Here is a 27,214-nt window from a genome sequence, read left to right as displayed (position 1 = left end):
ACTGGGAACTGAATATATAAAGACACTTCAACCTCAATAAAAACGCAATTTAAAACAATGAAATACTATTGTATGCTCAATCAATTGGCAAATATGAAAAGTCAACAGTAATAAATATTGGCGAGGAAATAAAGGTATGCTGTTCGATAAGTTAGCTAATAGCCACATGTGACTTTTGAACACTTTAATTGTAGCTAACCCAGATTAAGACATGCTGAAAGTGTAAAATATGCACTCAATTTCAAAGACACAGTGTGAATAAACTAATGTAAAATATCTCAATAATTTTGGTATTTATTACACACTGAAATGACACATTGAAAGTTGGCCAGCACTTTGGGAGGTCAAGGCTGGTGGATCACTTGAGGTCAGGAGTTCAAGACCAGCCTGGCCAACATGGTGAAACCCCGTCTCTACTAAAAATACAAAAATTAGCTGGGCATGGTGGCGGGCACCTGTAGTCCCAGCTACTCGGGAGGATGAGGCAGAAGAATCACTAGAGCCTGGGAGGTGGAGGTTGCAGTGAGCCAAGATCGCACCACTGCACTCCAGCCTGGGTGACAGAGCGAGACTCTCTCAAGACAAAAAAAAAGAAAGATAATCTTTGGGGTATGTTTGGTTAAATAAAATGTATTATTAAAAATTACATATGTGGTTCACATTTGTCGACTGAGTCACATTTCTATAGAACAGTGCTGATGTAGAGCAATGGAAATGCCTACACATGGCTTGCCAGAGTGTAAATTAATATGATCACGTTGGTAAACAATTTGCCATCATCTTATGAAATTTGGACACACACCTGTGCTATGACCTAGCAGCTCTCCTGTGGCATATATCCTAGAGGAAATCTGATATATATGCAACAGGAGACATACACAAAATTGTTCACAGCCGTATGGTTCACAATAGTAAAAAACTAGAAGCAGTACAGTGCAATCAGTGTCCGAAGAAAAAATAAATGAGTTACACTATAGTAACTGAATGGAACAGTAATGAAAATGAATAGATGGCAGCTACTCACAGCAGCAAGGATGAATTCTAGAAGTGTAATCTTGAGTGAAAACACCAAATTATACAAAAACACATAAAACATGCTACCATTTTTATAAATTTCAAAAACAATAAAAACTGTCCAGGCATGGTGGCTCATGCCTGTAATCCCAGCACTTTGGGAGGCTGAGGCGGGCGGATCACGAGGTCAGGAGATCGAGACCATCCTGGCTAACATGGTGAAACCCCATCTCTACTAAAAATACAAGAAATTAGCGGGGCATGGTGGCAGGTGCCTGTAGTCCCAGCTACTTGGGAGGCTGAGGCAGGAGAATGGCGTGAACCTGGGAGGCGGAGCTTGCAATGGGAGCTGAGATTGTGCCACTGCACTCCAGCCTGGGCGACAGTGCAAGACTCCGTCTCAAAAAAACAACAACAACAACAACAAAACTAAACATTGTAATGTTTAGGAGTTCGAAAACATGGGAAAGGGAGTGGAGGACATTCAAGGAGCTTCAGGGGAATTCTACATGCTCTATTTCTTCTGTTGGATGGTGAGGTTCATGAGTTGGCTCATTTTGTGTGTGTCCCAAAAAGACACAACTTACAGTTACCTGATGCCTTCAGAAACAAAAAGCTCACGATGACCCTAGTGAGAGCTGCTTAATTAAAATGACAAGTTAGATGTAGTGATTTGAGGAATATGTTATCATCGAGAAAGTGAAGACACCAAGTGTGGGCTGCTTCTTCACGAAGCTCTGTTATGAAAGTGAGGAGAGTTGGGTAGTAGATCTTAGGTAGCATGGGGATTAGGGAGAGCTTACCTTTGAAACAGAAGGCGCTCGTGTACAGATAAATACTGAGGAGAGGAGTTCTGCTTCTGGTGGACTGGAATATTTTTGGTCAACCTTCCTGCTAAGTAAAACTGTAACTGTACAAAATATACTTTTGAAAAATCTGTTTGGAGGAGTTACAGAGCTATCAAGGGAAGAAAGAACTTTGGGACAAATATCCAGGAGAAAGGAAAGTTCAAAGAAATGGGCACAGCAAGTGGAACCTGCCAATCAGGAAAGCAGATTCCAAGAAGCTGAGGAGCTGCTTTGGAAGCACTTGCAGGCTTCAGGGAGGCGACAAACACTGAACATCAGGAACTACCAAAGAGGAGGAGGCTTGGTAAACACCCAGGCTTTGGTAAGAACACCACAGAGCTACATTCTAGCAGTAAGTGTGAAACATAGACCAGCCCTCACAGGACTCCAGACCATTTGAATCTCTGTGAGGATTTAAGATGAAGCATGATTCCTATCACCTATAGCACAGATGCCTGCAAAGACCAGAAGGAAAATCTTTCTAGGAAATATAATATCATTCAAAGCCTCAAATTATCTCTATACTATTTCCTATGTAATACCCAGCATGCAATTTTTTTACAAAAAGGCAAATTAGAGAACAAAACATGCTTATAATGAAACAATAGACAATGGAAATAGACCCACAGGGTTACCAAATAATGGAGTTATCAAACATACCTTCCAAATGAACTTGGTTAATATGTTTAAGACATTAAAAGGCAAGTTTTGAGAATTTCAGCAGGAATTTGAAAGCCATAAAAGAGAACCGACGGACAATTCTAGAACTAAAAACACAATGAATAACATTAAGAAGTTAATGGCTGTACTTAATAGCAGACAGACCTGAAGTGACTAAAAAAGAGATAGGCCAGAAGAAGATATTCAGACTAAAAACAAGGAGAGAAAAAAGAACAAAAAGCAAAGAAGTATTGTCAAAGCCAGATGGGGCATAGTGATAAGGTCTAATGCTTTTGCAATTTGAGTTTGATAATGTAAGGAGAAGGGGAAAATGTCAGAAACAATGTTAAATGACAAAATAAAAATCCTCCAACACTAACAAAGCCACTAAGATACAGATTCAAGAAGCACTAACAACAAACAGAGATGGCCGGATCATCATACCTATGCACATCATCAAGTTTCTGAAAGGGAATATAAACTCTTAAAAGCAGTTTGGCAAGAAAAACATACAAGCTTAAAAGGAGCAAAAATAGAACTGGCAGCTGTCTTTTGCTCAGAAACAATGGAGGGCAAAAGACAATAAATCATATCTTCAAAATGCTGAAGAAAAAAACCTGCTGACATAGAATTTGATAACTGGCAAAAGACTCACTCATAAGTAAAGTCTAAATAAAAACATTTTCAGACAAGTACAAAGTGAAAAAATTTGTCACTACAAAGCATGCAATAAAAGAAATGATGAAGAGAATACTTCATCAAAGGAAACTAATTCCATTGGAAACTCCTAAGTGAAATAAAAAATAAAGTGTAGAATACGTAAGTATAATCAATGATCTAAGGCTCCATCTCAAAAACCTAGAAAAAGAACAGTAAATTAAACCAAAAAGTGTACAGAAGAAAACTATTTTTAAAAAATCAGTGAATCAAAAAGAAAACAAATAAAAATTAAAGCAAAAGTTATTTTTAAATTTAAAAACTGATAAACCAAGAAAGGCCAATCAAAAAAGATGAAAAAGAAAGCACAAATTACCAAAATCAGAATTGAAAAAGGAGTTATCACTACAGATCCTACAAACACTGAAAAAGATAATAAGAGGATATGAATAATGTTATGTCAATAAACTTGAAACTTATCAATAATAACAGTCCTGGCCGGGCACAGTGGCTCACACCTGTTATCCCAGTACTTAGGGAGGCTGAGGCAGGCAGATCACCTGAGGTTGGGAGTTCGAGACCAGCCTGACTAACGTGGAAAAACTCTGTCTCCACTACAAATACAAAATTAGCCGGGCGTAGGGGCACATGCCTGTAATCCCAGCTACTCGGGAGGCCGAGGCAGGAGAATCACTTGAACCCGGGAGGTGGAGGTTGTGGTGAGCCAAGATCACACCTTTGCACTCCAGCCTGGGCAACAAGAACGAAACTCTGTCTCAAAATAATAACAATAATAACAGTCCTTCACAAACTCTCCCAAAGTTTGGTATACTTCCTAATTCTTTTAATGAGACCAGTATAACATTGATACAAAAACTTAATAAAGCCATTAAAAAATGTCTCTTCCTTCCTATTCTCTGATAGTGTTTGTAGAGTATTATTATTATTTCTAATGTTTGGAAGAATTTACCTATGAAGATATCTGAGCCTTGACTTTTCTTCATGGGAAAGTTTTATTACAGATTTAGTTCTATTCTGATATTTAAATTTCTCCTGTATTATTTTCAGCAAGTTGTGCTTTTATAGAGTATTTTGTCCACTTCGAATGTATTGGCGTACGGTTTATAACATCTTCTTATTAAAAAGTTATAAACAAAACGTTGGCAAATCAAATCCAAGAATATATCACATCATGATGAAGTGGTGTTTACCCCAAGAATGAAAAGTTGATTTAACATTTAAAAATCAATCAGTATAATTCTTTGTCTGATCACAAAAAGAAGAAAAGTCACATATCATCTCAATAGATGCAGAAAAAGGTATTTGCTTACATTCAACTGCCATTAACAATAAAAACTGTCAGCAAATCAGGATAGAAGGAAACATCTTCCGTGCAATAAAGGGTATCTACAATAACAATGCAGCTAATATAATACTTAATTGTAAAATAGTGAATGCATTCTCCTTGAGGGTGGGCTGGTTTGGGTAGGTGTACCAGTCAGGATAGGCGTGGTTATACTGTGGTAATGAGCAGCCCCAAATCTCAGTGGCTTAAGACAGCAAAAGAGCAGTAGCTCACTCCTGTAATCTCAGCACTTTGGTAGGCTGAGGTGGGAGGATTGCTTGCACACAGGAATTCAAGATCAGTATGGGCAACAGACCCCAAAACCTCAGCTCTACAAAAAAAAAAAAAAAAAAAAAAAAAAAAAGCAGCTGGGCGTGGTGGCTCACGCCTGTAATCTCAGAACTTTGGGAGGCCAAGGTGGGCAGATCACCTGAGGTCAGGAGTTCGAGACCAGCCTGGCCAACATGGTGAAACCCCATCTCTACCAAAAATACAAAAATTAGCTGGGCATGGTGGCACCTGCCTGTAATCCCAGGTACTGGGGAGGCTGAGGCATGAGAATCGCTTGAACCTGGGAGGCAGAGGTTGCAGTGAGCTGATACCACGCCACTGCACTCCATCCTGGGAGACAGAGAGAGAGATTCTATATCAAAAAATAAATAAGTAAAATAAATAAAAAATAAATAAATAAACTAGCAGGGCATGGTGGTGTGTTCCTATGGTCTACTTTGTAGGCTGACACAGGAGGATTGCTTGAGCCGGGGAGGTTGAGGCTGCAGTGAGTCACAATCACACCACTGCACTCCAGCTGGGCGCCAGAGACCCTGTCTCAAAAACAAACAAACAAAACAAAACAAAAAAAGATGGGAAAAGAGTCTGTCCCACTCATGCCATGTCTCAGTGCAGGCTGGCTAGCAGTGAGTGTGATCTCTGATCCATGTTGTTCTCACTCTGGGAACCAGACTGAAATAAGTTCCACCATGTAGATCACTGTGGTTGCTCCAAGATGGAGTGATATAAAGTGACACTCACTAGGTCTTCAATACTTTCTCCAAGATGTGACATATGTCATCTCAGCTCAAATGGACCAAAACAAGTCACATGGTCTCACATAACTTCAAGGGGACAAGGAGGTATAATTTTGTGTGTGTGCATGAAAAGTAAAGGGGAACAGGATGTTGGTGAACAGTGATAATGTTCCCACGTTGAAACAGGATAATGTCCCGCACTGAAAGAATGAGATATTTATATTGATGACTTCACAGATGGAGCACTTGTGAGAGATGAAGCAGAGGCCAAAATCTTCAATGCATAAGGGTACTCCAAGGAGGTCACAAAAATCAAGGACTGAGAAGAAGAAGACTCCAGGATTGCTAACAACGTTGACATCCATCTTTTCCTTGGTTGGCTCTAGCTAAGGGAATGACCTCAGCCTAATAGAGTGTGTTTTTCTCTTCTTATGTAATTCAGGTCTTTCTGAACTAGAAATTCTCCTCTGGTATCCTAAACTATGTGTCCTCACTGTTGTCTCTGTTCTGTAAACCAGAATATCCCTTTAGGGTGTTAGGACCCTCAACATTCTTTGTAGAACAGTTTCTTCATCTCAGTCTGCCATTTCTCAAAGTCCAGATTTTAGATAATGGTGTAATGCTAAGAATATCTGTTTTTTCCAGTTCTCCCAGAAAAATGCCTAGGCTTAGCACCAGATTATGCTGTTTGATCCTGCTAAAATACTGATCCTTTATCTCTTGAGGCATTTAAACCCTTCCCTCAAGACTCAACATAAATCCTCCCTCTATCCTAACACCTATTCACTTCAGCTCATACTGTTGGAAAGCCAACCCCCAAGCTCTAGGCCCCTTTACGATCCCATAAAGTAGGAATTTTGTCTTACCTAGAAAGAAGCAGGGAAAAGCTTTGCCTTCTCTCTCACTGGGAAGAGTGGTGACATCCTGAGTCACACTATGCAAGAGTCAGAAATCACCACAGGCTGCCATTTAGCTATGTCCTATCTCTTTTTGGGAATTTCTTGGGAGTTCTCTGTGCACCATGATTAAGAGCTGCCAAGCTACTGGCAGTGTAGGGTCCACGCTGAAAAACCAGTTCTCTGCTCAAGCAAGTCTCAAGGTCAAAACTGAAGGACAGGAGTAGGAAGGCCATTCTGGTCTCAAATCCAAGGCATAGTCTCCAATGACCTTACTGGAAATAAATCAGTTTGTTTTTCAATAGCTCCAGAACCCAAAGGAATGCAAGAAATTGGCCCCCAATAAGTGATTGTTTTCATCTTCCATTCAACAAATGGCCGCTCTATGCCCTCATTGGCCTTATTCTAGGCTTTGCAGACACAAAGGTGGAAAACAACTAAGTGCTGTTCTTTAGGAGGCTGCAGTCTAGTGCAAAAGGTGGATGTGGAATCAAACGATTAAGTAGGATACACCAAAGGGTCCCAATCTGTGCTTCAAGGAACACAATAATAACAGGTTGGGGGGGATGGATGTTTTTTGTTTCTATCTGCCCACCCAGCGTCCACTTGCCCTTTTTCCGTTGATACTCCAATATCCCTTGGGAAAATTCTTCACATAGATCCTTATTCCAAATGCCTCAAGTGGAGCTGACTCTACCCCCTGAATCCAAAAGTGGGCATGTGACACAGTCCAGCCAATTAGAGCCTCAAATCTCCCTGCTCACAGTAATTGATTCAAGAATACCCAAGACTCAGTTAGAGCCCATCAAAGTAACCGTGGGACATTTTCTGCAACTACTATGAGAAAGATACTCCTCTCTTTTCCATACTCAGAGTTCTGGAGCTATCAACATGGAGGGGGCGGGAGCCCCATGAAGAGAGAGCCCGCCTGAGAATAAAGCACAGAATCCAGGAATGAAGATTCTTGATATTATGGGGAGCCTGCTTCCAGCCATGGCTGATGAGATTGACACCTTCATTCATTCACTCATTCATTTATTCACCAAAAAATTACCAGGCATCTATTATGTTACAGGTGTTATTTTAGGCCTTAAGGATACAGAAGTGAATAAACTATGCAAAACTCCTACCTTAAGGAGCTTGCAATTCCTTAGGAAGAGACAATCACATAAGATCCCTGTATTGAAGGCAGTGGTCCCCAACCTTTTTGGCACCAGGGATTCGTTTCATGGAAGACAAATTTTCTATGGACAGAGGGAGGATAGTTTCAGGATGAAACTGTTCCACCTGAGATCATCAGGCGTTAGTTAGATTCTCATAAGGAGTGCACAACCTAGATCCCTCACATGCACAGTTCACAGTAGGATTTGCACTCCCATGAGAACCTAATGCGGCTGCTGATCTGACAGGAGGCAGAACTCAGGCATTAATGCTCCCTCACTCGCTACTCACCTCCTGCTGATGGCCCAGTTCCTACAGACCACGAACTGATAACAGTCCGTGGCCCAGGGGTTGTGGATCCCTGATTTAAGGTACTTGCACTGAGTGGAGAAAGACAGACAATAACCAAGAAAATAAGTAAAATAAATATTATGATAGATGGTGATAATTTCCACAAAAAAAAATAAAGCAAGGAAAAGGATTTGGAATGACATTTTAAGTAGGGTGGTCAATGAGAGTCTAATGAGTCAACAACATTTTCCTGGAGACCCGAAGGAAGTGAGAGTGGGCTGGGGGGGAGATGCCCTCGGGCAAGAGGGGCAGGTGCCAGGGCTATGGTGTGAGGGTGCAGGGCATGTCAGACGAGCAGGAAGGAGGCAGGTGAGCCAGGAGTGACAGAGGAAGGTGCAGTCTCAGAGGGTAGCACCTGATGGGCATCTATAAGGACTTCAGCTTTTATTTTCTTAACGATGCAAGTTGTGCCTAGGGCTGGAGGGAGGATTTGAGGGTGGGCTGAGCAGAGCAGAGGACTGATCTGGCCCATGGCATGTTTTAACAGGATCACTCTGGATGCTGCATTGAGGGGACAGTGACGGGGGTAGGGACAGACCATGTAAGGACTTAGGGAGGTGACTGTAATAATCCAAGCAAGAGCTGTGACATGGCTTGGACAAGAATGGTAGTGATGGAGAAGGCAAGAAATGGCCAGAGCCAATTTATTCCCCTAAAAGCACTTTGTGAGCTCGGGCAACAGAGTGAGACCTTGACTCTAAAAAAAAAAAAAAAAAATTAAAAATTAGCCAGGCATAATGGTAGAAGCCTATTGTCCCAGCTACTTGGGAGGCTGAGATGGAAGGACCCCTTGAGCCTGGGAAGTTGAGGCTGCAGTGAGCTAAGATCCCACCACTGCCCTCCAGCCTGGGTGACAGAGTGAGACCTTTTGTTTTTTAAGAACAAAAAAGCACTTAATGTTGCTTTTCCATCATTTGCAACTGGAGGAGGCTCAGCTAACGTGCCCTTTTTCACCAAATGTTAGATGCCATCCACAGTAAAGCCACCATTATTTTATGCAACACTTGGAAAAAAAGCAACTCTGCCTATTAATCTGTGGCATGATCCTTTCTCTGCTTATTATATATCATGTGAGCGTGAACAGCTATGACCACTTGCACACAATGAGTTAAACTTTTGCCTTAGGAATGTGGATGACGGTCCTGTCACAATTACACAATGGCAAATATTTAGCTGTGGTTTAACATCAAAGTACTTAAAAATCAGACTTGTTCTGGTCAGGCAGGTGTTTGCATCTTCAACCTTCAACCACGCAATGACTATGGTTTGGGAGAGCTTGTTCACTGGACCATGTCACTCCCTGCTTAAAACCCTTCAGTGACTCCAAAATGCCTATAAGATCAAGTCCAAACACCTGACCACGGCCACTGGGCCCTTTAAGGCCGGCCAGGCATTCAGGGTTCATCTTTTGTGCCTTTCAGCTTCATACTCCACAATGCAGGAGTACTAAGCCCCCTCAATCCCCCCACATGAGCCAGGCTTACTCTTTACCATCTGCCTTTGCACATACTCTTCCCTTTCTCTGAAACGTCCTTCCCCCTTCTATCACCCACTTCTTCCCCCCAGGTAACTCCTGCCATTTCTGCAAGATGCCAGTCTAAAAGAGGAGGCCTTTTCAGATCCCTCCCCCCACTCTGAGTTAGGGACCCTCCTCCAGGATATCAGTCGCCTGAGCTCACCCACGTCAGGGCACTTACACACCCTGTGTTTTCCAGGTGGTTTACTTGCTCTGGGAGCAAATTGTTAACACTTTGCCTTCATCCTCCTCATATTCCCGGTCCCCAGCACAGGGGTGGGTACAGAAAATACAAATAGTAAATGCCTACGAAATAAATGAGTCGGTTGGTGGCAAGTAACACTGTTTTACCTGTACTAGGAAACGTGTGAGAGACATACTGGCAAAATCAAACAAGTTAATGTTTCACTGGGCTGGGCAATGGCAAAATGAGGAGAGCCCTAACCTTATATTTATTTATATTTATTTATTTATTTATTTATTTTGAGATGGAGCTTCACTCTTGGTGCCCAGGCTCGAATGCAATGGTGCGATCTCAGCTCACTGCAACCTCCGCCTCCCGGGTTCAAGCGATTCTCCTGCCTCAGCCTCCTGAGTAGCTGGGATTACAGGTTCCCGCCAACATGCCCGGCTAATTTTTGTATTTTTAGTAGAGTCGGGGTTTCATCATGTTGGCCAGGCAGGCCTCTCCTGACCTCAGGTGATCCGTCCACCTCGGCCTCCCAAAGTACTGGGATTACAGGCATGAGCCACCGCGCCCGGCCTCATAACCTTGTATTTTAACAAGCACCGAAACAGGCAGTTAACCTTAGGCCCAATCTGCTTATAGAATAAGGAACAGGAACAGGAAAATCAAAAGGTTGGCTACACCAGAGATAACTATTTTGCCAATGAATATTTTCAAGCTGGGGATAAATGACAGAGACGGTTTTCAATATAAGGGTGGCAAATTTCCTCTGTAAATAAAAGAGAAAGATGCTAGGAAAATTAGCAAAAGCATGACCTTTGACCCAGGCTAGAACCACAAGCCCGTGCAATTGAGGGTGATGCTGCATAGTGTTCAAACTCTTACTGGGACATGCAAGAGCCTCCATTACCTCTGTGCCCACCTCTCCTCTGTCCACAACTGGCTCCTTACCTGCTCACCTGCACATGCTCCAGACTAAAGATCAGGAAAAGCTGGGGCCTCTCTGTGCCCCCAAGACCCTGCACTGGTTTCTCAATGCCCTTATCACCATGGACGGTCATTCAGGGCCATTAGACTAGGAACTCCTTTAAGGAAGGCTCTCGTGGGCCTGACACAGCAGGTGCTCACTTAACCTTGACTGTGTTCATCTATCTTTTTGAGAAGGGCTGTCCAGGCAGGCATCTGAGTAGCACTCACAGCCTTGGGAGTTCTAGAAGCCATCCATGATGTACGCACACAGCCAGTGCCCTGGGTAATGATGACAGGCACAGCTTTCAAAGCAGACTGTCCTGCCTCAAGCCCAGCTCTACTTCTTACCAGCAGTAACCAGGACAGACCCCTTTCTAAGGTAGCCACCTCAAGGGGCATGAAAAGGATGGAGTGAACACTATGTGCTAGCATGGCTGGAACATAGTAAGTGCTCAGTATGTCTCAGCTCTTACCTGGGGCACAGTGGAGACTGGCGAGTCAGCACAGTAGGAAACCAGCTTTGAGAGGCAGAGGGCTCTTAACATAAAAAACGGCACAGCTCGGTACTGCTTGCATTTATAAGGCACTTTTCACGTGGATTACTAGTGGTTAAGCTTCAAACAACCCTATAAAGTAGCTAGTGGTATCATAACTCACATTTCATTGATGAAGGGACTAATGTTTCAGAGAGGTGAAGTAAGTTTTCCAGGGACACGCTGCACTGGAAAGAGGGTTCTGCTAGTCCAAATAGGGAGCTCTATCGACCTGAACCGCAAGGATCCAGCCAGGAAGTTGAGATGCGGTTGGACAGCCTACACCACTTCTGCGCCAGGGGGAGGCTGCCCAGAACAGGACGCCCTCCTAGGAACCACAGAGTTTAGCAAAGAAAAGTTTCCCTCTGTCCTGGGTGATTGAGGAGAGCTGCATCCAACAGGCCCTTGCACGAGACCAAATGCGTCGTGGGCACGCGCACACACACACAGACACACGGTGCAACCCGCCCTTCCAGGCCACCTCCGTCAGCCTCAGGCTCTCAAGGAAACCTCGGTTTCCTGGGGAGCCCGAGCCTAGAACCATCCCGACTGGCCTCCGAAGTCAACTCCTCCCTTCCACACCCCCAAGTGCAGGTTTCGGGTTCAACTCTCTGAAGCCGCCTCCCCAGTCCCGCGCTAGGCACCGTCCCGACTACTAAACGGCACTGGGTACCTAGGAGTTGCCTCAGCAGAAGCGCCGCGCCTGGCACGGGTCGGGCACACACTGCATTCGCTGGGCGAAGTGGCCATGCCTGGGTCCCCGCGCCGGGCAGCATGCGGTGCCCCGCAGGGCTCGGCCGAGGGTGGTGGAGGAAGGGGATGCCCCGCGAAGCGGGAATTCGCACCTCTCGCTCTCTTACCTTCCTCATTCTCGTCAAACACGGGGGGCTTGTGGGAGTGGTTCCCGCCCATATTCCGCCGTTGCTGCCGCTGCTACATGCCCGGCCGCTGGGATGCCGGATGCGGGATGTGGGACGCGCGCAGAGATGCGGGATGCCGGGGGCGCGCCCAGTCCGGGTTGTAGCCGCGCGCGGAGCCCGAGGGGGCCGAGCACCGTGCAGGGGCGGGGACGGCGTCCCCCTTCTCCTGGACGCCCTTCCGACTGCGCTCGCAGGGACCCCGCTCTCGCCGCGCCTTCCGCCGTGCCCCGCCTCGGGCTGCGCTCGCAGCTCCTTACTCCAGTGCCCGCCCGGGAACCCGGGAGCTCCTCGCGCCGGGGCCAACGTGCGGCGCTCCTCGCCGGCTACAGCGGGCGGGAGACGCGAGGCGGCGCGGGAGCAGGGGAAGGAGGGGAAGGAGCGGGGGAGGAGGGGACGGACGAAGGCAGCACGCAGTGGGCGGCGGCAGGGCGGAAGGAGCTGAGAAAGGGATCGGCCCGGAAGAATCTGAATCCCTGCTCGGCCCTCCTCCCTCGGCCGGGAGCTCGGTCCCTGCAGGCAGTAAGCGGTTTGTCAGCACCCACTATGGCCAGGCCTCGGCTACGCGCTTTGTTAGCACCATCCCACATCCGCCTCCGACAACCCAGCAGTAAGAAAGCATCGTTCATATTTTAGAGCGCAGTAGACGGAGGTCTAGAGGTAGAGGGGCTCTTAGGTCTGTGGTTAGTCGGCCCCGGCTGCGAAGGGAGTCCCAGGACTCCCCGCTAGCCTGTATTTGCCCATTCATATTGGGATGGGCAGTGGAGTGTCTGCTGGCTCTCCAACCGACGCTGTTCCTCTTAAGGTTTTTCTCAGTGTTTAATGAATGAAAGTATCTGTTTACTTTCTGACCCCTTAAGATTAGATACTAATCTGACCCCTTCATTGTACATGGGGAAACTGAGGCCCCAGACAGCCATAGTTTGCCCCAAACCATTCTCCCTGGGAATGGCTGGGCATGAGTCTCGGGATTCCCCCAAAATTGGGCGGCATCGGCGTCCGATTTAGGGGCGAGGCTAGCATGAGGGTCCCTGGGCTCCTGCGGCGGGAGCCTGGATCGGGAGATACGCGCCACAGTTGCGGGTGCCTAAGTAAGGGGTGCGGCAGATGCGCCCCAAGACGTGTGGGGCGAGCGCGGGTTCCCAGGACGCTCCCTGAGGGACAGGCAGGTCCCCCTGCCTTGCAGTCCTGCGGGCCCAGCTCTCCGGGACTGCAGGGAATCTTTGGCTACATCCTGCCATCTGCTGGGCGCCTGGAACCACTGTCCGTGCTTTGATAGAAAGCAGGGGTTCTTTGTGACTCTCTCCATCCTATCTCGTCCCCCAGTCCCCGTCCCCTACCTGGTCTCTCTCTCCAGTTCTCTCCCCTTCTTTCTTTTTCTTGGGAGAAGGGTGAGGGAAGCCGGGGAGACTCATACAGAAACAAAACAAAACAAAACAAAACAAAAAATCTCTTAAAGGCAGTGGGAAAGAACTGAGAAGGTCTGAGGCAGGCCCACCCACCATGACCCAGAGCTGGCTCTACCATTTACTGGCAATGTGTCCCACTTTGGAGTTCTTATCTGCAAAGTGGGCTGATTGATATTAACTCCTTGGGTTGTCTGTGAGAATTATATCAGGTAATATTTATAAAAGCAGGCAACAGTGCCCGGCATATAATAAATGATGAATAAATATTTCTTGCCTTTCATTCCACCAACAAGCATACACTGAGTAGCCAGTGTGCAGCAGGCAATGCCCTGAACACAGAGCTGGCCCCTAGCTCAAGAAGCATAGGGCGGAATGTGGACAGGCATGGGCTCTGGGCTCATTCTACCCAGGTTTCATTCTGCTTTGCCCCTCATTAGCCAGTTAACTTGGATAAATTACTTAACCTGTTCTGGACTCAGTTTCTTCATCTGAGTCCAGAAGGTGCTAATAAGAGAACTTTCCCTTTCTAACATTGTTATGAGGAATATATTGATATTGTGCTAGGCCGGGCGTGGGGGCTCACACCTGTAATCCCAGCACTTTGGGAGGCTGAGGCGGGTGGATCACCTGAAGTCAAGAGTTTGAGACTAGCCTGGCCAATATGGAGAAACCCCATCTGTACTAAAAAAACAAAACTTAGCTGGGTGTGATTGCCAGGCCTCTGAGCCCAAGCTAAGCCATCATAACCCCTGTGACCTGCACATATACATCCAGATGGCCTGAAGCAACTGAAGAATCACAAAAGAAGTGAAAATGGCCTGTTCCTGCCTTAACTGATGACATTACCTTGTGAAATTCCTTCTCCTGGCTCAGAAGCTCCCGACTGAGCACCTTGTGACCCTCGCCCCTGCCTCCCAGAGAACCCCTTTGACTTTAATTTTCCATAACCTACCCAAATCCTATAAAACTGCCCCACCCATATCTCTCTTCGCTGACTCTCTTTTCGGACTCAGCCCGCCTGCACTGAGGTGATTAAAAAGCTTTATTGCTCACACAAAGCCTGTTTGGTGGTCTCTTCACACGGACACGCATGACAGAAATGTCACCCACCTGTAATCCCGGCTACTCGGGAGGCTGAGGTGGGAGAATCCCTTGAACCTGGGAGGCGGAGGTTGCAGTGAGCTGAGATTGTGCCACTGCACTCCAACCTGGGTGACAGAGTGAGACTCCGTCTCAAAAAAAAAAAAACAAAAGAAAAGAAGGCATTGGCCAGAGAGGGTGCTGGCGCTGAGACTGGAAGGGCAAGGAATCAACCGGGTTGGAAGAAGAAAGGAGGCTACTGGTGCAAAGTTCTCCAGGCCTAGAGAGTGGGACACTTTGCAGATGCTGGGAGATGTTCCACACGGCTGGAATTAGTCTTGCAGTGCAGTGTTCAGTGACAGCGTGCATGTGTATTGAGAACTCTGCATGTCCAGCTCTGTGCTAACTCTTTGCAGGGTGCTAGGACCTCCGGCAACCCCTTCACTTCTCTGCTCCCCATCCATAGAGAATGTGCCTGACTCTGGTACTTCAAGCGCTCTGCATGGATTTTCTCATCCTCACAGCAACCCTGAGAGGTAGGTGTGTCACCATCCCCACTCTGGAGGAGACTGGGGCACAAATAGGCTAAGCCAACTCAAATGGTTGAGAAGTGCAAAGACCTAAGATTTCAATGCAGAAATTGGCCAGGTGTGGCGTTTCACGCCTATAATCCCAGCACTTTGGGAGGCCTAGGTGGGAGGATCACTTGAGGTCAGGAGTTCGAGACTGGCCAACATGGTGAAACCCTGTCTCTACTAAAAATACAAAAATTAGGCCAGGCACGGTGGCTCACACCTGTAATCCCAGAACTTTGGGAGGCCAAGGTGGGTGGATTACCTAAGCTCAGGAGTTCGAGACCAGCTTAGCCAACACGGTGAAACCCCATCTCTACTAAAAATACAAATATTAGCCAAGCGTGGTGGCAGGCACCTGTGACCTCAGCTACTCGGGAGGCTGAGGCAGGAGAATTGCTGAAACCTGCAGAGAGTTGCAGTGAGCCAAGATCGCGCCATCGCACTCCAGCCTGGGCAACAACAGTGAGACTCCATCTCAAAAAAAAAAAAAAAAAAAAATTAGCCAGGCATGGTGGTATGTGCCTGTAATCCCAGCTACTCAGGAGGCTGAGGCAGGAGAATGTCTTGAACCTGGGAGGTGGAGGTTGCGGTGAGCCAAGATTGCGTCACTGCACTCCAGCCTGGCAACAGAGTGAGACTTTGTCTCAAAAAACAAACAAGTAAAAAAAAAAAACAGAAAATTATTCCCTCACCATTCTGGAGGCCAGAAGTCAAAATCAATCTCCAGAGTCTCCATGCTTCTTCCAGCATCTGGTGGCTCCAAACATTCCTTGGGTGGAGGCTGGAGAACTCTGGTCTCTACCACCATCTTCACATGGCCACCTCCTCTCTCCCTGTGTCATTTCTTCTCTGTCTCTTGAAAAGACACTTACTGGATTGAGGGCCCACCCTGATAATCCCAGCATGATCTCTTCTCAAGATCTTTAACCATTTGCAAAGACTGTTTTCCCAGATAAGATCACACATACAGTTCCAGGGGTTAGGACTTCAACATATTTTACTGGGGGCCACTGTTCAACCCCCACATCTACCTAGTGGCAAAGCTCCTGTCTCCAGGTCATGCGTTGACTCACCACCTGCCACTGCTCCCTGATTTCTACCCGGCTTTCCTGTCATCCAGGAGCCCTGCAGGGCAGCCAGGGCTGTGTGTCCCCAGGGTCTTGCTCAGCACTGGTACAGAGTTGATACTTTACAAATATACGTTGATGGAATGAGTGAATGATGGTTTCAGATGTGTTGAAATGGAGATTTTGTCAGAAACATTGTGAGATGCCCCTCTCTATTAACCATCAATCAGACCTCTGGACTTTTATTTTATTTTTATTTTTATTTTACTTTAAGTTCCGGGATACATGTGCAGAATGTGTCGGTTTGTTACATAAGTAGACATGTGCCGTGGTGGTTTGCTGCACCTATTGACCCCTCCTCTAGGTTCCCTCCCCTCATCCCCCACCCCCCAACAGGCCCTGGTGTATGTTGTTCTTCTTCCTGTGTCCATGTGTTCTCATTGTTCAGCTCCCACTTATGAGTGAGAACATGTGGTGTTTAGTTTTCTGTTTCTGTGTTAGTTTGCTGAGAATGATGACTTCCAGCTTCATCCATGTCCCTGCAAAGGACATGATCTCATTCCTTTTTATGGCTGCATAGCATTCCGTGGTGTATATGTACCACATTTTCTTTATCCCATTTATCATTGTTGGGCATTTGGGTTGGTTCCACAATTTTGCTATTGTAAACAGTGCTGCAGTAAACATATGTGTGCATGTGTCCTTATAGTAGAATGATTTATATTCCTTTGGGTATATACCCAATAATTTGACTGCTGGGTCAAATGGTATTTCTCACTCTAGATCGTTGAGAAATCACCATACTGTCTTCCACAATGGTTGAACTAATTTACATTCTCACCAACAGGGTAAAAGTGCTCCTGTTTCTCCACAGCCTCACCAGCATCTATTGTTTCTTGACTTTTTAATAATCACCCTTCTGACTGGTGTGAGATGGTATCTCATTGTGGTTTTGATTTGCATTTCTCTAACGAGCATTGATGTTGAGTTTTTTTTCATGTGTTTGATGGCTGCATAAATGTCTTCTTTTGAGAAGTGTCGGTTCATATCCTTTGCCCAGTTTTTATGTGGTTGTTTGTTTTATTCTTGTAAATTTATTTAAGTTCCTTATAAATTCTGGATATTAGACTTTTATCAGATGGGTAGATTGCAAAAATGTTCTCCTATTCTGTAGGTTGACTGTTCACTCTGATGCTAATTTAAATAGATCCCATTTGTCAATTTTGGCTTTTGTTGCAATTGCTTTTGTTGTTTTAGCCGTGAAATCTTTGCCCATGCTTATGTCCTGAATGGTATAGCCTATGTTTTCTTCTAGGGTTTTTATAGTTTTGGATTTTGCATTTAAGTCTTTAATCCATCTTGAGTTAATTTTTGTATAAGGTATATGGAAGGAGTCCAGTTGCAATTTTCTGCATATAGCTAGCCACTTTTCCCAGCACCATTTATTGAATAGGAGATCCTTTCCCCACTGCTTGTTTTTGTCACGTTTGTCGAAAATTAGGTGGTTGTAGATGTGTGGTGTTATTTCTGTGGTCTTTCTTCTGTTCCACTGATATCTATATGTCTGTTTTGGTACCACTACCATGCTGTTTTGGTTACTGTAGCCTTGTAGTATAGTTTGAAGTCAGGTAGTATGATGTCTCCAGCTTTATTCTTTTTGCTTATGACTGTCTTGGCCATACAGGGTCTTCTTTGATGTCATATGATATTTAAAGTAGTTTTTTCTAATTCTGTGAAGAATGTTAATGGTAGTTTGATGAAAACAGTTCTCGACTCCTATTCAACATAGTGTTGGAAGTTCTGGCCAGGGCAATCAGGCAAGAGAAAGACATAAGGGGTATTCAAATAGGAAGAGAGGAAGTCAAATTGTCTCTGCTTGCAGATGACATGATTCTATATTTAGAAAACCCCATCATCTCAGCCCCAAAACTCCTTAAGCTGATAAGCAACTTCAGCAAAGTCTCGGGATACAAAATCAATGTGCAAAATTCGTAAGCATTCCTTTACACCAACAATAGGCACACAGAGAGCGAAATCATGAATTAACTCCCATTCACAATCGCTACAAAGAGTACCTAGGAATACAGTTAACAAGGGATATGAAGGATCTCTTCAAGAAGAACTACAAACCACTGCTCAAGGAAATAAGAGAGGATACAAACAAATGGAAAAACCTTCCATCATCATGGATAGGAAGAATCAATATCATAAAAATGGCCATACTGCCCAAAGTAATCTATAGATTCAATACTATTTCTATCAAACCGCCTCTGGACTTTTAAGCAGAGTGGTCAGGGAAGCTTCACTGAGCTGACACCAGAAGGAACTCTAAAAGGCAGTGAGGAAGTTGGCTGCACAGATGTCAGGAATGAAAGTATTGCAGACAGAGGAAGCAGCCAGTGCCAAAACCCCAAGGCAGGAGGGCACATGACTTCCTCTGGGAACTGCAGGGGGCCACAGAGGCTAGAATGTGTGAAGCAGAAGATGGAGCAGATGAAAGAGATGAGAGGTACAGAGCCCGCTCAGGCAGAGCCTGGCAGGTGGCTCAAAGACTCGGGGCTTTCTTCTGAATTAAATGGGCACACACTGGAGGGCTCTGAACAGGGAAGTATGACAGACATCTTTTTAAAGGGCCCCTCCAACTCTGCTGAGAGTAGACTGAGGCAAGGCAAAGGTATGAAGGGGAACACTGGCTTTGAGACTACTGCTAGGCAAGAGATGCTGGTGGCATCAGCACATTGGGGGTTGGGGTGGTAGGGAGAAGTGGCTAGTCCTGGACATATTTTGGGCTTTTGGTTTTTTGGTTGTGTTTGTTTTGAGACAGGATCTCACTCTGTCACTGAGGCTGGAGTGCAGTGGCACAATCATGGCTCACTGCAGCCTCAGCCTCCCAGGATCAAGAGATCCTCTCACCTCAGCTTCCTGAGTAGCTGGTACCACAGGTGTGTACCACCACACCTGGCTGACTTTTTATTTTAAGTTTGTAGAGACAGGGGTCTCACTGTGTTTCCCAGGCTGCTCTCAAACTCCTGGACTCAAGCAATCCTCCAGCTTTGGGCCTCCCAAAGTGCCGAAATGACAGGCATGAGCCGGCATGCCCAAACAGTCCTGAACATATTTTGAATAGAGGAAAACCTAAACGGATTTCCTGGTGGTTGGTTGAAGGAGGAAGGAAAAAGATGAGTCAAAGATAGCTCAAATCTTTTGGCTTGAACAACTGGAAGGATGAAGACAGGGGAGGCTGAGGGTGGGGCTGGATCCCTGTGTTTTGGTGTGGCAGGGCAAAGGGAGGGAAGGAGGAGATTGGGAGTCCCCTCTGGGACATGTTAAATTTAAAGGGTCTGTGGTGGGTGTGTAGCAGTCCCTGGGCAGATGTGTCTGAGGTTTAGGAGAGAAGTTGACAATAGGAATTACAATTTGGGAGTCCTGAGCATATTGATGATGTTTAAGGCCCTGAGATTGGAGAAGGTTTTCTTGGAGATGCAAGGATCAACCCTAGGACTCCAACAGGAAGAGGCCAGGGAGATGGAGAAGGCAGCCAGCTTAGACAGAAAGGGATGGGAAGGAAGAGCCCTCGCAGAGGCAGGGATTGAGAGAGAGCTGGATCAACTGCCTTTGGCGAAGGAATACCTGCCTCCGAGAATAGCTGTGAGAATTAAATGCCTAGAAGGATTACCAGCACCTGGTAAATTGTAAACCATCAGTGCGTGTTTGTTATTGGCCATGAAGACAACTCAAGAAACGGACCTGATAAAAACCTATGTGGAGGCAATGGCTGGACTGCTGCCTGGGAAAGGCTTCCTTACTCTCATTTCTTCCTTCAGCCAACATGCCCTGAGCTTGTGTTATGTGTCAGACACTGGGCTGGGAGCCCGAGAAGACAGGTAGCCCTACTGGGATAGGGACTACATGTTCCAACTGCCTTTGCAGGTGGGAGTGGCCATGGGACTAAGTTCCAGCCAACAGGATGTGAGAAATGCCGTGTGCACCGACTGCTTCTCCTTCCGCCCCTGTAGGCTGTGATGCCCACCTGAAGCCCTGCTGGAGAGGACAGCACTCCGAGGAGTAGCAGAGGAACCAGATGGAAGTAGCCATGGTCTGGGACAACCTCATGTAGCAAAACGGCCCTCCTGGCCTGGAGTAAGTATATGCACCACCTCCTAAGAGAGCAGGCTGCTAAGATATCATGGAAGCAGAGCAGGAGCTTTACAGGTGTTCTGGGTGTCCAGTCCTATATAAAGGAATTATTTGTTGCAAGGACTATGAGACATATAGCTAGATTTATGAGAGATATAAGCAAAACTATATGCACAGTTCAGAATAATACATAATAAATATGCTTGAAAACTAAGTAAATGTATGCATTGTCATTCCAAATAGAGAGTCCAGTTCTTAACTCTTGCAAGTAGAGCTCTAATATCCACAGAAAGAAATTTTCCAGGTATTATTGGAAAGGATTGAGACAAGGGAGACTCAATGAACATTTGGAATCGAAAGCCTGCTACTAAAAGAAAACAGAAAAGAGCTCCTTTCTCCTCCTGGTATCTGAGTGAAGACTCAGGTACTGCCTAGGGTATTCATGCTGCACAGGTTTTTTTTTTTTTTTTTTTTTTTTGAGACGGAGTCTCGCTCTGTCGCCCAGGCCGGACTGCGGACTGCAGTGGCGCAATCTCGGCTCACTGCAAGCTCCGCTTCCCGGGTTCACGCCATTCTCCTGCCTCAGCCTCCCGAGTAGCTGGGACTACAGGCGCCCGCCACCGCGCCCGGCTAATTTTTTGTATTTTTAGTAGAGACGGGGTTTCACCTTGTTAGCCAGGATGGTCTCGATCTCCTGACCTCATGATCCACCCGCCTCGGCCTCCCAAAGTGCTGGGATTACAGGCGTGAGCCACCGCGCCCGGCCCCTGCTGCACAGGTTTGTAGCCTAGGAGCTATTGGCTACTCTATTGCTTTTTGTCAGGGACGGGATCATGCATTTAACCTGGCCACCCTAAACTGGACTTCCTCCCATTCCCCTGCAAGGTTCATTTTCAATCAGGAAGCCTCCAGGTATGCAAAGGATGACAAGTGAAACTCTACCTCGCTCCCCTTTGGTCTCCTTAGCAGACAGCTGAGGGTGCAAGCCCCGAGAAATGCGAGCCATGGCTCTTCATGGCTGAAGGAATTGGTCACCTAACACTGACACGGTCTGGAAGAATTATTTTGAAGTAAGTACATTCCTTCTACTTCCTACACTATGTTAAGTGTCATCCAGTCTCCTCAAGAGAGAATGGCGGAACTTGGGGGTCAGCTGTGCTCCAGATGAAGTCAGCTCCAGGTCTTGCCCTCTTGCCTGGCTCACAGATGGATGAAGTTTTATAAAGTTCTTCTAATTATGTGCAAAACAATAAAATATAAACCAACTACTTATATGTGCTGAGTCTGCTTGGCTTTCCCAGAACGTAGACTATGGAGAGATCATGGAAATTATGGTTTAGAACTTCTCCTGTGGCTCTAACAAGGGGTTGAGCACATGACTCTTGTTACTTCTCAAATCCCAAATGTAGGCACAGAAATATGAACTGGGATTCTTTTTCTGACTTACATGTACATGAGTAGAGTCTTGTGGCTGCTATTCCTCTTGCTGAGAACACAATCAAGTAATCACCATACTTGCATTTGGAGCCATAAACCCTAAAGCCGTAACATTTAATTTTATGTAACACGATCACGCTGTAGAAGCTAATGTGATTCCCTGGAGCAGGGCGTCTTCTGTGCCAAGCCATTTTGTAGAGTCTGCTATATCAGATTTTGTTATCGTTTATGTTAAGCCTATTTTATTTAAAACTTGAGTCTGGTTTGCTTAGAGTAAATACCGTCTGCTTGCACTCAATTTCAATATGTTCTGTTTGGCAGCATTGTGCATTGTAAAGAAAAAAAAAAAGATAAAGGCTGTTTTGTGGCACACCAAGATAAGAAATAGTTTGCACATCCAGTTCTGTTGTTGAAAGTCATCTCACTCAGATAGCGAATTATCCATAATGACTTAAAAATAATAACTTCAAGAGCAGTCTTTTATTGTTAAGAGTCTTTATGTGTGCGTGTGTGTGCGTTGAGTGCTCACTCAAAATAGGGGTCCATAAATTGCTACTAATGTAGAGTGTCTGCATTTCTTGGCATTATAAAACTTCCCTAGAGGCATTTTCATAGTTGGGAACTTGGTAGCCCAGCAATTCTGAGCTTCTTGTTCTTACATTAAAATAATTTGCATAGTAGCTCCATGGTGACCTCAAATTAAGTGTCTGTGGAGAATTCTAGCTGTACTGTGAACCAGGCTGGGTCAGAAGGAAGGCTCCGTAGCTGCCAAACGCAACATCTGTGCAATGTATTTCATTGTATTCTTGCCTGGGTTTATAGGGATTCTTAGGGGCTTAAGGGAGTCGTCATGAACACTCTGAAACTGTACTTGAACTTGTGTGTGTGTGCGTGTGTTGTCTGCTTGCACATATTTGGTTATTTTTATAGGAAGAGAGTCAAAATCTGTCACAGCTCTTTAAAAGGCTCCATGAACCCACCCATTTCCCTGAAGAAAAGGACTCAGAAGCAGTGATGTAAAGAATCGTTTCTATCAACGAGAAGAGACTCCTCTTTCAGAAAGCAGGAACCATACGTAGCAGAAGTGATAACAATGACTTACTAAAAGGCACTAGACACAGTCACATGACACATAACGATGTCTCCATCAAGGATGGGCCGCACACCCAACAGTGGCCCCATGAGATGAGACTACTGTATTTTTCTGCACCTTTTCTGTGTATGCATACACAAATACTTGCCAATGTGTTACAGTTGCCTAGGGTATTCATGCTGCACAGGTTTGTAGCCTAGGAGCTATTGGCTACACCACATAGCCTGGGCATGTAGTCAACTGTACCATCTTGGCATGTGGTGACAACGCATATCTCAGACCATGTCCCATGGTGAAGCAACATCTGACTATATTGAGGTAGCCAGTGTGTGGCCTACAGGGCAGGAGACAGGCCTTAAAAGTTCTACTGCTTGGCCGGGCGCAGTGGCACCTGTAATCCCAGCACTTTCAGAGGCCAAGGAGGGCAGATTACGAGGTCAAGCGATTGAGACCATCTTGGCCAACATGGTGAAACCCTGTCTCTACTAAAAATACAAAAATTAGCTGGGCATGGTGGCACTCATCTGTAATCCCAGCTACTCGGGAAGCTGAGGTAGGAGAATTGCTTGAACCCAGGAGGCGGAGGTTGCAGTGAGCCAAGATCGTGCCACTGCTCTCCAGCCTGGCGACACAGCGAGACTTCGTCTCAAAAAAAAAAAAAAAAAAAAAAAATTCTACTGCCACTGCCTCATCATGTGCACTGAGAGAAGTCACTTCCCTTCTATAGGCCTCATTTTCCCCATCTGTAAACTGAAAAAAATGAAGGAGTTGGGCAGTGTGGCAGAGACACCTACTTGTTCATGGTATCCACTTACCCCTTCTTTCTTTTTACAAATAGAACATACACCTCCAGTGTTAGCTGAGCACATGGCCACTGGGCTAGGGACTAGGTGTTCCAATTGCCTTTGCAGGTGGGAGTGGCCATGGAATTAAGTTCCAGCCAACAGGATGTGAGAAATGACACATGCACCGACCGCATCTCCTACCACTCCTGCAGGCTGTGATGACCACCTGAAGACCTGCTGGGGAGGACGGCACTCCAGGGAGTAGCAGAGCAACCACAAGGAAGTAGCCGTGGTGTGGGACGTCCTCATGTAGCAGAATGGCCTACCTGACCTGGACCGCCTACTGCCTCTGGACTGTTAAGAGAGGATAGACACTGTCTTGGTGATACCACTTAACAGTCGTGTGCAGCATCATGACATTTTGGGCAGCAATGGACCACATGTACAATAAGATTATCACAGAGCTCAACATTCCTATTTCCTGGTGACATGGCAGCCATCATGACTTCGTAGCACAATGCATTCCTCACGTGTTTGCAGTGGTACTGGTGTAAACACACCTCCTTGCACTGTCAATCATAGAATTTAGCACATAGAATTACATACAGTACATAACACCTGATAATGATAATAAATGACTATGTTAAAAGTTTATGTACTTACTATACTTTTATCATTATTTTAAAATGTGTGCCTCCTATTTATGCAGAAAAAAGTTAGTTATGAAGCAGCCTCAGGCAGGTCCCCCAGGAGGGATTCTAGAAGAAGGCATTGTTATCCTAGGAGATGACAGCTCCATGCATGTCACTGCCCCTAAGACTGTCCAGTGAGCAAGATGTGGAAGCAGAAATTGATGATCCCGACCCTGTGAGACCTAGGCTAATGTGCGTATTTGTGTCTTAGTTTTTAACACAAAGTTCTAAAGAAATTTTTAAGTAGAAAAACGCTTATAGATTCAGGTTATAAAGACAGAAAGTGGCCAAGTGTGGTGCCTCGTGCCTGTAATCCCAACACTTTGGAAGGCTGAGGTACACAGAAGGATCACTTGAGTCTGGGAGTTTAAGACCAGCCTGAGCGACATAGCAAGACCCCATCTCTACCAAAAATACAAAAAATATATATATATCTGGGCATGATGGCATATGCCTGCCATCCCAGCTATTCAGAAGGCTGAAGTGGGAAGATTACTTGAGCCCAGGAGTTGGAGACTGCTGTGGGCTATGATCATGCCACTGCACTCCAACCTGGGCAAAAGAGTAAGATCCCATCTCAAAAAAAAAAAAAAAAAAAGAAAGAAATTTTGTATAGCTGTACAGTATGTTTGTGTTTTATGCTATGTTATTACAAAAGAGTCAAAAAGTTTAAAAATATTAAAAAGTTCATAAAGTAAAAAAAGTTATAGTAAGTTAAGGCTAATTTATTATTAAAGAAATAAAATATGTTTTTATAAATTGAGTGTAGCCAAAGTGTACAGAGTTTCTGAAATCTAAAGTATAATACAGTCATGTCCTAGGCCTTCCCATTCACTCACCAGCTACTCACTCATCCAGAGCAACTCTCCAGTCCTGCAAGCTCCATTCATTGTAAGTACCCTATCCAAGTTTATTATTGTTTATTTTATACCTTATTTTTATAGTCCCTTTTCTGTATTTAGATAGATTTAGATACACGAATACTTTGTGTTAACAAATGCATTGTGTTACAGTTGCCTATGGTGTTCAGTACAGTAGCATGCTGCACAGGTTTGTAGCCTAGTAGCAGTAGGCTAGACCATGCAGCCTAGGCATATAGTAGGCTTCACCACCTAGGGCTGTGTAAGTATTCTCTATGATTTGTGCAGCAATGTTTGCACAATGCTGAAATTGCCCAACACACGTTTCTCAGAATGTATCCCCGTCATTAAGCAATGCATGACTATGTTTTGAATTTGGGGATTCCTTTGGTTCATCAGCTTAATCCATATCTAAACAAATGCAGACTCGTTGAGGCCAAGGTCATCATTGTCATCGTCATCCTTCCTTGCCTCCAGAACGATATAGGTACCTAACAAATGTTCAGCAAAATGAAAGAATGAATGAACAGCTGAATGGTTTTAATTGGCATGCCAGGAATTTTATGGGGATGATTCATGAACCAGCTTGGGTAGGGATGAGGTCATGTCTAAGCATTTTTCCAATACTGAAATTCCATCATTTTGTTTCTAAGAACTGAGAGTCACTTGAGAACACAGTGTTGGCTGGCATTTTCTTAGCCAAGGGTCTGGCAAAGCAAGGATGGACGGGTGGGGAGGTCTTAGAGGGAGCAAAGAGAGGTAACACACACTCCCTCCCCCTTCCGTCCCTTCAGTTATCCATTCATTCACCCAAAAAACATGTGCCCATTACATGCCAGGCACCAGCAGGAACAGAAATGAATAACAGGTCCCCATGCCCACCCTCACAGCCCAATGAAGAAAACAGTGCAGTGGTAAATAAAAGCAGTGTCATAGCTGAGTAGAAGCTGAAACAGGCTGAAACATGGTGACATTTTAATCTTTGAGTCTTCAGTGTGTCCCCAGAGCCACTATCTAGAAAACCATCTTTATCTTCACCAACTTTAACACAGACGGGAAAGAGGGTTTGCTTTGGGGAAGTTCATTTGTCAGAGCCCTTTCTCAGAGTCCTCCAGGCACCCTCAGTCCAAATCCACTTCCTTTATCTGTAGAGTAATTGATATTTATTAGCAGTGAATCAGTTCTGGAGGGCTCAGGGTTCCAGCTAGGGAACCAGAAGAGCTGGTTGTGACCAAGACCACACTAGCTGTCAGACATTCATTAATTTATTCAATCACTCAACTTGAACAAGTTACTTTCTTTCAGTTTCTTCATTTGTAAAGTGGGGACCATTTTTCCTATCTGTGAGCTTTGAATCAAAGTACCCAATAGAGTGTTTGCCGCCTACCAGGGGCTTAATAAAAATGAATGGGTGCTGATTTGTTAGCATGAGAAATATTGCTGTTGCCCAGTACTTCTCAACAGGGGTGATCCCCCACCCAGGAAACATTTGGCAATGTCTGGGGACATTTTTGATTGTCGTGACTAGGATGGCGTGAAGTGGTGCTACTGGCCCTAGTGGATAGAAACCAGGGGTGCTGCTCAGCATCCTACAGTGCACTAGACAGCCACCCACAACAAATAAATATCCCTCCCAAAGTGTCAATAGGGTCAATAGCTCAGACACCCTGCTCCAGACCCTCAAAAATGCCAATTTCCACAGGATGCATCCACACTCTTGCCAGAGAGCTGTTGTGTGCAATTTTAAATTCCACCCTTGGCCGGGCACAGTGTCTCATGCCTATAATCCCAGCACTTTGGGAGGCCGAGGTGGGCAGATCACGAGGTCAGGAGTTCAAGACCAGCCTGGCCAACATGGTGAAACCCCGTCTCTACTAAAAATACAAAAATTAGCCGGGTGTGGTGGTGGGCGCCTGTAATCTCAGCTACTTGGGAGGCTGAGGCAGGAGAATTGCTTGAACCCAGGAGGCGGAGGTTGCAGTGAGCCAAGATCACGC

At 45.4% G+C, this 27,214-nt stretch overlaps 1 protein-coding gene and 1 long non-coding RNA gene across 7 annotated transcripts in view, besides 2 other annotated features; one reads left to right on the top strand and one right to left on the bottom strand.

Annotated features, from left to right (window-relative positions):
• STK32B (serine/threonine kinase 32B) overlaps window positions 1-27,214 on the bottom strand; it is a 481,604-nt gene that overhangs the window by 437,049 nt on the left and 17,341 nt on the right. For 3 of the 5 annotated variants that reach the window (NM_001306082.2, NM_018401.3, NM_001345969.2), the window contains exon 1: window positions 12,026-12,461. The exons of the other annotated variants lie outside the window; for them this stretch is intronic. Coding sequence is in view for 2 of the 3 variants with exons in the window: in NM_018401.3 (NP_060871.1) it covers window positions 12,026-12,077 (52 nt within the window). In the remaining variant the exon portion in view is untranslated. Of the gene's footprint in view, window positions 1-12,025; window positions 12,462-27,214 lie in introns of those variants that run through there. 5 annotated transcript variants of the gene reach the window in all.
• Window positions 11,221-11,759: an enhancer, noted in NCBI's record as "H3K4me1 hESC enhancer chr4:5053909-5054447 (GRCh37/hg19 assembly coordinates)". NCBI's record gives its function as "activates a minimal SCP1, AML or CMV promoter by ChIP-STARR-seq in naive H9 embryonic stem cells {active_cell/tissue: H9 hESC(naive)}" and the evidence as "EXISTENCE:reporter gene assay evidence [ECO:0000049][PMID:30033119]".
• Window positions 20,234-24,319, top strand: LOC107986256 (uncharacterized). 2 transcript variants are annotated; one of them, XR_007058005.1, is made up of 3 exons: window positions 20,234-20,353; window positions 21,317-21,420; window positions 23,878-24,319. It is a non-coding gene; the product is annotated as an uncharacterized LOC107986256 (long non-coding RNA). The 2 variants fall into 2 exon arrangements; XR_001741565.2 differs by having other exon boundaries at window positions 23,792-24,032.
• Window positions 20,429-20,929: an enhancer, noted in NCBI's record as "H3K27ac-H3K4me1 hESC enhancer chr4:5044739-5045239 (GRCh37/hg19 assembly coordinates)". NCBI's record gives its function as "activates a minimal SCP1, AML or CMV promoter by ChIP-STARR-seq in primed H9 embryonic stem cells {active_cell/tissue: H9 hESC(primed)}" and the evidence as "EXISTENCE:reporter gene assay evidence [ECO:0000049][PMID:30033119]".

This window comes from Homo sapiens, chromosome 4, assembly GCF_000001405.40.
Source record: "Homo sapiens chromosome 4, GRCh38.p14 Primary Assembly".
Taxonomy (NCBI): Eukaryota; Metazoa; Chordata; class Mammalia; order Primates; family Hominidae; genus Homo; species Homo sapiens.
Note: the sequence above shows the minus strand (reverse complement) of the source record. Positions and strands in the feature narration are given on the sequence as shown.